Source organism: Homo sapiens, chromosome 17 (assembly GCF_000001405.40).
Source record: "Homo sapiens chromosome 17, GRCh38.p14 Primary Assembly".
NCBI lineage: Eukaryota > Metazoa > Chordata > Mammalia > Primates > Hominidae > Homo > Homo sapiens.
The window spans coordinates 57,963,885-57,971,551 of NC_000017.11; the positions used below are offsets into that span (position 1 = coordinate 57,963,885).

Below are 7,667 nucleotides of genomic sequence, written 5' to 3' on the forward strand. Positions count from 1 at the left end.
TGCCCCTTTTCTTCTTACGAAGGAAAGAGGAGGTCAGGCCTGTGCCAGGCTTGCAGCTAGAGAAGAATGAACTCTTTGATTATTGGGATGATGAGATTATAAGGGGAAGCTGTACAGATGCCTTCTCTGGATGTAGTGAATATGGGGAATGAAGGAGATGGAATAACCTGACCCTAGACTAGATCTTTTACTGGAATGGAGAAAATGCTGTAAAAGACATAATTAGGGCCAGGGTCAGTGGCTCACGCCTGTAATCCCAGCACTTTGGGAGGCCGAGGCGGGCGAATCATGAGGTCAAGAGATCGAGACGATCCTGGCTCACAGTGAAACCCCGTCTCTACTAAAAATACAAAAATTAGCTGGGCGTGGTGGCACACACCTGTAATCCCAGCTACTCGGGAGGCTGAGGCAAGAGAATAGCTTGAACCCAGGAGGCGGAGGTTGCAGTGAGCTGAGGTCGTGCCACTGCAATCCAGCCTGGGTGACAGAGCGAGACCAAAAAAAAAAAAAAAAAAAAAGAACATAACTACATCACCTAACTAACAACTGGAATAAGGATAAGGATGGTAGATTAAATATAAGTATTATATAAATGTAAGTGTATAAAGTTAATAACTGTGCTGTGGTGTAACAGCATATCTCTATTTTTAGGAAATACACACAGAAATATTTAGGGGTAAGAGCTATGATGTATGAAACCCTAGAATGGTTCAGAAAAAAAAACAAATTGGATAGAGCCCCATATGGTGATTAAGCAAGGGATAAAATGTTAATAATAGGTGAATTTGGGTAAAGGGTTTACAGATATTTCTTGGACTATTTTCACTTTTGCAACTTTTTGTAAGTTTGTAATTGTTTCCAAATATATATTGAATGTTCCAGGCTCACTTTGTGTTTTCCCTGCCCAAGCTCTGCAATCGGCTTTTTCTGCAGGAGTCCTAGTGAGCAGGAAATTTAGCCACATTTTAAAAGTAGGTGAATGAGAAGAAGGCTTTCCTAGTATATGGAACAGCATGATTAAAGACAAAGAAATATGAAATACAAGTGTAAATGGTAGAAAGGACTGCCGGCGAAAGTGGGTGAAAGCCTAACCCAGCAAAAGGTCTCGCCGGATAAAACCATGGCCTCGCCAGGCGCGGTGGCTCACGCCTGTAATCCCAGCACTTTGGGAGGCCGAGGCAGGCAGATCACGAGGTCAAGAGATCGAGACCATCCCTACCAACATGGTGAAACCCCGTCCTACTAAAAATGCAAAAATTAGCTGGGTGTGGTGGCGGGCGCCTGTAGTCCCAGCTACTCGGGAGGCTGAAGCAGGAGAATCGCTTGAACCCGGGAGGCGGAGGTTGCAGTCAGCCGAGATCACGCCACTGCACTCCAGCCTGGTGACGGAGCAAGACTCCGTCTAAAAAACAAAACAAAACAAACCGTGGCCTCACCTGGGTATGCAAAACGCAGCCCCCACAGTTCCCATAAGCCTGGTCCCATTGACTCGTACAGCTGTGATTTGGATATGCGATACAATAAACGGACAGATTCAGCCATCCCTGAGGGGCCAACACTGCATTTGGGGGCATGTCATCTGCGGAAACCATAGAACTGAATTGTATCTATTTACATCAAATGAGTACAGCTACTGTGCAGAGTGCGGAAAGTGAAGCAGCATTCGAGGTCCAAAGCTCCAGCAGGAGAGAAGCAATGCTTTCTGTGAATGAGATACAGGCCGCCGCCCTCCCAATCAGAACACGGGAGATATCAGCCAATCCCGGCCCGCCGATGCTCTAGTATCGGGCGGGGGCCCACACGCCCAAGAGTTGTTTGTCTGCCTCGGGTCCCCTCCAGCCCTACCGTTGGAGGAAAGAGGCGGAGAGGAGGCCAGGAGGCCGGCAGGGTTGATCAGGCCAAATGGTGGGGGGCGCCAAATGCCAGGCCAATGTGGAGCCAGTTTGGGCTCCACAGCAGGGTGACTGATCCAGCCATGGCAACACTCACATTTACCTTGTCCCCTGCGGGGCTGGTTCCTCTCCCGGATCAGTGAGTCCCTGACGCCTTTGGGAGGGGAGGTTGGAGCTGTGAGGGCTGACTCTGGACTGAGCGGGATAGACGGATTTGGGCTTCTCTCCCTCATCCCACCTGGCTAGGTGGTGGTGTTCCTCTTCTTCTTAGGAAGGAAAGAGGAGGTCTGGCCTGTGCTGAGCTTGCAGCTAGAGAAGGACGAACGAACTCTTTGATTGTCAGGACGGTGAGATTGCGCGGGGAAGCTGTACAGTTGCCTTCTCTGGATATAGTGAATGTGGAGAACGAAGGAGATGGAATGACCTCTCTGAAGCAGGATGCACCATCCCCAGATAGGCACATATCGGATCTCCCAGCCTGGTGACTCTTCCGTGGTCTAATCTGAACACCTCTGGCCTGCCACACCTCTGGCCAGCCTCCAGTTAGCTGCTTTTCAGGAGATGTGCCATACGTCTCATTTTCTCATTCCTCGGATGAAGCTCGTTCCCCATGCTGGATGCCAACCCCCAAAATCTGAGGTGAGAAAGCAATGCAGGAAGGCAATTCAGCTCCTTTGCAGGTCTGTCAGAGGATGCAATTGGTGCCTTTGAGCAAAGTGATGCTGCCATGACCCAAACTGGAAATAGGAGGACCAGATAGAGATGGTCTACATTGAATTCGAGGCTCCATCCTCTGTACCAGGCCCTGGGCTAAGCACTTTACATGCTTCAGATTAAAACTTTACTAGGAGCAGGTGCAGTGGCTTATATCTGTAATCCCAGCACTTTGGGAGGCCGAGGTGGGTGGATCACCTGAGGTCAGGAGTTCAAGACCAGGATGACCAACATGGTGAAATTCTGTCTCTACCAAAAATACAAAAATCAGCCGGACGTGGTGGCACGTGCCTGTAATTCCAGCTACTCTGGAGGCTGAGGCAGGAGAATCATTTGAACCCAGGAGTCGGAGGTTGCAGTGAGCCAAGATTGCACCATCACACTACAGCCTGGGCAACAAGAGCAAAACTCCGTCTCAAAACAAAACAAAACGAAACTTTACCAGGTTGGATTTATTGTCATGCTTATTTTACAGCTTAGGAAACAGAGGGCAGAGAGGCTACATATCTTGCTGAAGGTTACATAGCTTCAAGTGGCACAGCTTGGATTTGTACCCAGGCCTCTCAGATTCCAAGTCTCTGCTCTTGATCATAACCCTAAACTACAGCACCTCCCAGCTGTTCCTTATGCCAAATCGCCCTCTGCTCTGGATCCCCTGCGGGCCCTCCTCACTTACCTTGGTGCTTACTCCTGTTTCTGGCCTTGGTACTTGGTTCCTTGTTGTGTTTCAGGTCTCCCGGACATTGGGATTCATCAATACAGGGCAAAATCAGCAACAATCACAGGCTGCCATGAACCCACTAATTTGGAATCAAAGATTTAGGAATGTAGCAAAACTTTTGGAAGCTATGGTCCAATTTGGAAACTAGCCTCCCTTCTGGGGGTGCTAAACTGCCTCCACCTTTATTTTGATATCTCCCACCTATTCCTGTTATACCAAGGAAGAATAAACTAACTGCCTGACGTTAGTTCAGGCAGGGGAAGGTTTCAGAGGAAGCAACATTTAAATTACACTTTCTGCCTGTCTAGGGGTTCACAGTGGAGAAAGAATGTTGGAGGGCTGGTTATGGGGAGGGCATTCTAGGCCTAGAAAACAGCGGAAGCAGTGACTCTGTCTCCTTTCTCTCTCTCTTCGCAGACTCCCCCCTCCCCATTCTTCTCCCTCAGAGGTGCCTGATAGCCACAGAGTCTCTGGTGTTGACAAAGTGACAGAACTTCCCTTACGTTGACAGGGCCACCCTGGAATCAGGACCTACTCTTTTGGGACAGAGCTCTGGGATTTCAGGAAAGGGTGGGACCCCACTTCTTCCAGCAAGAAGTGGTTCACAGGTCCTCACTCCTAATTACTTGAATCTTGCCTGTTTCTTCAGCTACTGATTTTTCTCCTTTTTTTTTTCTTTTAAGACCGAGTCTCACTCTGTTGCCCAGGCTGGAGTACAGTGGTGCAATTTTGGCTCACCACAACCTCTGCCTCCCAGGTTCAAGTGATTCTCCTGCCTCAGCCTCCCGAGTAGCTGGGATTACAGGCATGCGCCACCATGCCCAGCTAATTTTTGTATTTTTAGTAGAGATGGGGTTTCACTATGTTGGCCAGGCTGGTCTCGAACTCCTGACCTCGTGATCCGCCTGCCTTGGGCTCCCAAATTGCTGGGATTACAGGCGTGAGCCATCGCACCCAGCCTTTTCTCCTTTATCTGGTGAAGAAATGCACGTCTTCTTTCCTGCCTATTGGCTGAAACAAATCATCACAGCTGGCTCGGACTAGCAGCCTGTCTCCAAGTTCCCTAAGTAATCATGTCTAGCCCAGGGCAGGTGCATGGAGAGGGTGGTCAGGGTGGGAGTGATGTCACAGGTAGCACAAGAACATTTCCTCCAAAATGTCTCTTTTCCCTTCCTTAGCCTCTTCCTAACCTCCAAGACTCCCCTTTTTCTTCCTCCATATACATGCAAATCTGATTTCTCTCTAGCTCTTTTCCTGCCACTAACAAAGATAAGAATTCCTTGGCTCATGGGCAAGGGCCTTGGGGATCCAAGCTCCTTCAAAACAGATCTGTCTGGCTGACTCTGTAGGGATAATAAGCCTCTGGCAGTCCCCAGTTGTCCCTAAGATTGGCAAAGACCTGGCTTCCCATCCCAGTCTTTGAGGATGGCTCTCTTCTCCATGGGCAGCCTCTAGAATTGGTGCATCTGTCCCAGCCTAGCCTGAGCACTGACTGCCAGAGAGAGCTGCTGGACCAGTCATTGGAAGGGCATATTGCTCCCTGTCATTCCCCTTGATCTCCTCATCCTCTCAGCTGTCATGCCAAAAGAATACCTCACTGGCAGAACAGAATATTTTCCTCAAACGTCCTTCTTTAGTTTCTGACACAGCCAGATGCAGGTGGACCTCACTTTAAGGAAACTCCATTAATGAGAGTTCTCCCTACATGGTTAGCAGTTACATATATTACAAAGGAGTCGTGATTTTAAGTTCTTATTTTATGTTTTATGTAATCTTGAAAGAGATATTTAGGGGTTGGGAGGGAGGTGGGATGTCAATTTAAGATAATTAGAGATGAAGAGGACTTCTAAAATTATGATGCAAGTCAGTAGTGATAGAGAATCTTTTTTTGCTTTGTTTTGTTTTTTTGGAGACGGAGTCTGGCTCTGTCGCCCAGGTGACAGACAGAGGCTGAGACATAAGGATTGCTTGAACCTGGGAGGCAGAGGTTGCAGTGAGCTGAGATTGTGCCACTGCACTCCAGCCTAGGCGACAGAGCAAGACGCTGTCCTAAACAAATGGGCCGGGCGCGGTGCCTCACGCCTGTAATCCCAGCACTTTGGGAGGCCGAGGCGGGTGGATCACCTGAGGTCGGGAGTTCGAGACCAGCCTGACCAACATGGAGAAACCCCGTCTCTACTAAAAATACAAAATTAGCTGGGCATGGTGGCGCATGCCTGTAATCCCAGCTACTTGGGAGCCTGACGCAGGAGAATCACTTGAACTCAGGACGCAGGAGAATCACTTGAACTCAGGAGGCGGAGGTTCTGGTGAGCCGAGATGGCGCCATTGCACTACAGCCTGGGCAACAAGAGTGAAACACCATATCAAAAACAAACAAACAACAACAACAACAACAAAAACTAACAGAGCAGTTTTTTGTTCATTTGTTTGTTTTAAGACAGCGTCTTGCTCTGTCGCCTAGGCTGGAGTGCAGTGGCACAATCTCAGCTCACTGCAACCTCTGCCTCCCAGGTTCAAGCAATCCTTATGTCTCAGCCTCCTGAGTAGCTGGGACTACAGGCTTGCACCACCACGCCTAGCTAAATTTTGTATTTTTAGTAGACACGGGGTTTTGCCATGTTGGCCAGGCTGGTCTTGAACTCCTGGCCTCAAGCGATCCAGGGCGGTTTTTGTAAAGTGATGTGTACTTGACCTTCATGGTCCAGGGCCAAGATCTGGGTTAAGTGCCTATCTTGGGAAGAGGAAGGCTAACTAGCCAACCCCTAATGGGTAGGTCTAAGGAGAGGGCTACCTCATGCAAAGATCCAAAGGAAAGCCTGCGACCCTTCATTCCTTTATCGGTACTACATGGGCCTTAGATTGCTCAAAGGTGGGCAGCCAAGAGAAGCTGGAATCTGGACTAACACACAAACTCAGTCAGTATTCTGCCCTGGATCATTACACACTAACCTGCCAGCCCCCTAATTTTTTTTTTTTTTTTTGAGACAGAGTCTTGCTGACACCCAGGCTGGAGTGCAGTGGCGCGATCTCGGCTGACTGCAACCTCCGCCTCCCGGGTTCACGCCATTCTCCTGCCTCAGCCTCCTGAGTAGCTGTGACTACAGGCTCCCGTCACTACGCCAAGCTAATTTTTTGTATTTTTAGTTAAGAGACAGGGTTTCACCGTGTTAGCCAGGAGGGTCTCGATCTCCTGACCTTGTGATCTGCTCGCCTTGGTCTCCCAAAGTGCTGGGATTACAGGCGTGAGCCACCGTGCCCAGCCTAGCCCCCTATTTTTACAAGGGGAGATTTTCCAGTAATCTGCCAATGTCAGGCCAGCTGTGGGGGAGATTTACAGACCCAAACCAGGGACAAAAGACATTCTTTCAGGATACAGGACTCTTTAAGGAGGAATTGGAAAAAGTGCAAGACTGATGGCCAGACCTATTAGGGCAGGGAGGAAAAATTGATTACTGTCCCATGAACAGATTGGACTTTTAGGTCCAATGATCCTTGAGGATACTGAAGTGAAAACCTCCACTATCTCCTCTACATCCTAAACCTAGGTCGATTCAGAGGACCAAACTACAGGGCCCCTTGAGAAGAGTGGAGACACCTGAACAGCCGGGACTGGAATGATTAACTAGCAACTCAGTGAAATAACACTTCCCTTGTTCCTAGGACAAACACAGCACGAAGAACACTTTCCTCCAGCTGTGTTCACTGAGTCACTAAAGGCCTAAGACAATTATCACAGGAAGTTTGGAAAGCCTCAATTCTATATAAAACAGATGTAGGTATCCAAAACTTTTTCATTGAATGAAGTGTCACATTCATCCTGATTTGCTGTTTGGTGATACCATCACTCGTCCCATCTCCCTTAACAGCCTCCTTGGAGGCAGCAACCATGTCTTAAATCAACTTTTCATGCCCCTTAGTGCCTAATAGTGCGTGGCACATTGTTGGTCCTCAGTGGGCATCTCATAAATCTAGTTGAACACAAATGGGCAAGGGACCCAGCTTAAAGCCCCTTTCAACTAAGGAAATTGGGTCCTAGAGCATGAGAAGAAATGTTTTAAACCCATCTTCTCTTTTGGGTAGGACAGGGACCTAAACCTGTGGCCACTGCCTCCATCCTAGCTTCCTGGGCCTTACCTGAGCTGCTTGGGAGGGTGCACCTACCAAGGGCAGTCAGTCTGGTGCCCTTCCACCCTCCAACCAGCCTGATACTGGTCCCTCCCTCTCTCTCCAACCCAATACTGAGATGTGCGCACCTGAAAAGAAAGTACTTGAAAAATTCCTCTATTATCAGAGCAAACTGATGAAGCTTCTGAGGTATTAAACAATCCATCATAACA

General features: G+C 48.7%; 2 annotated features.

Annotated features, from left to right (window-relative positions):
* Positions 1,864 to 2,372: an enhancer, noted in NCBI's record as "H3K4me1 hESC enhancer chr17:56043109-56043617 (GRCh37/hg19 assembly coordinates)". NCBI's record gives its function as "activates a minimal SCP1, AML or CMV promoter by ChIP-STARR-seq in naive H9 embryonic stem cells {active_cell/tissue: H9 hESC(naive)}" and the evidence as "EXISTENCE:reporter gene assay evidence [ECO:0000049][PMID:30033119]".
* Positions 5,662 to 5,822: a silencer, noted in NCBI's record as "fragment chr17:56046907-56047067 (GRCh37/hg19 assembly coordinates)". NCBI's record gives its function as "represses an EF-1alpha promoter that drives an FKBP-Casp9 reporter gene in an ReSE screen in K562 erythroleukemia cells {active_cell/tissue: K562}" and the evidence as "EXISTENCE:reporter gene assay evidence [ECO:0000049][PMID:32094911]".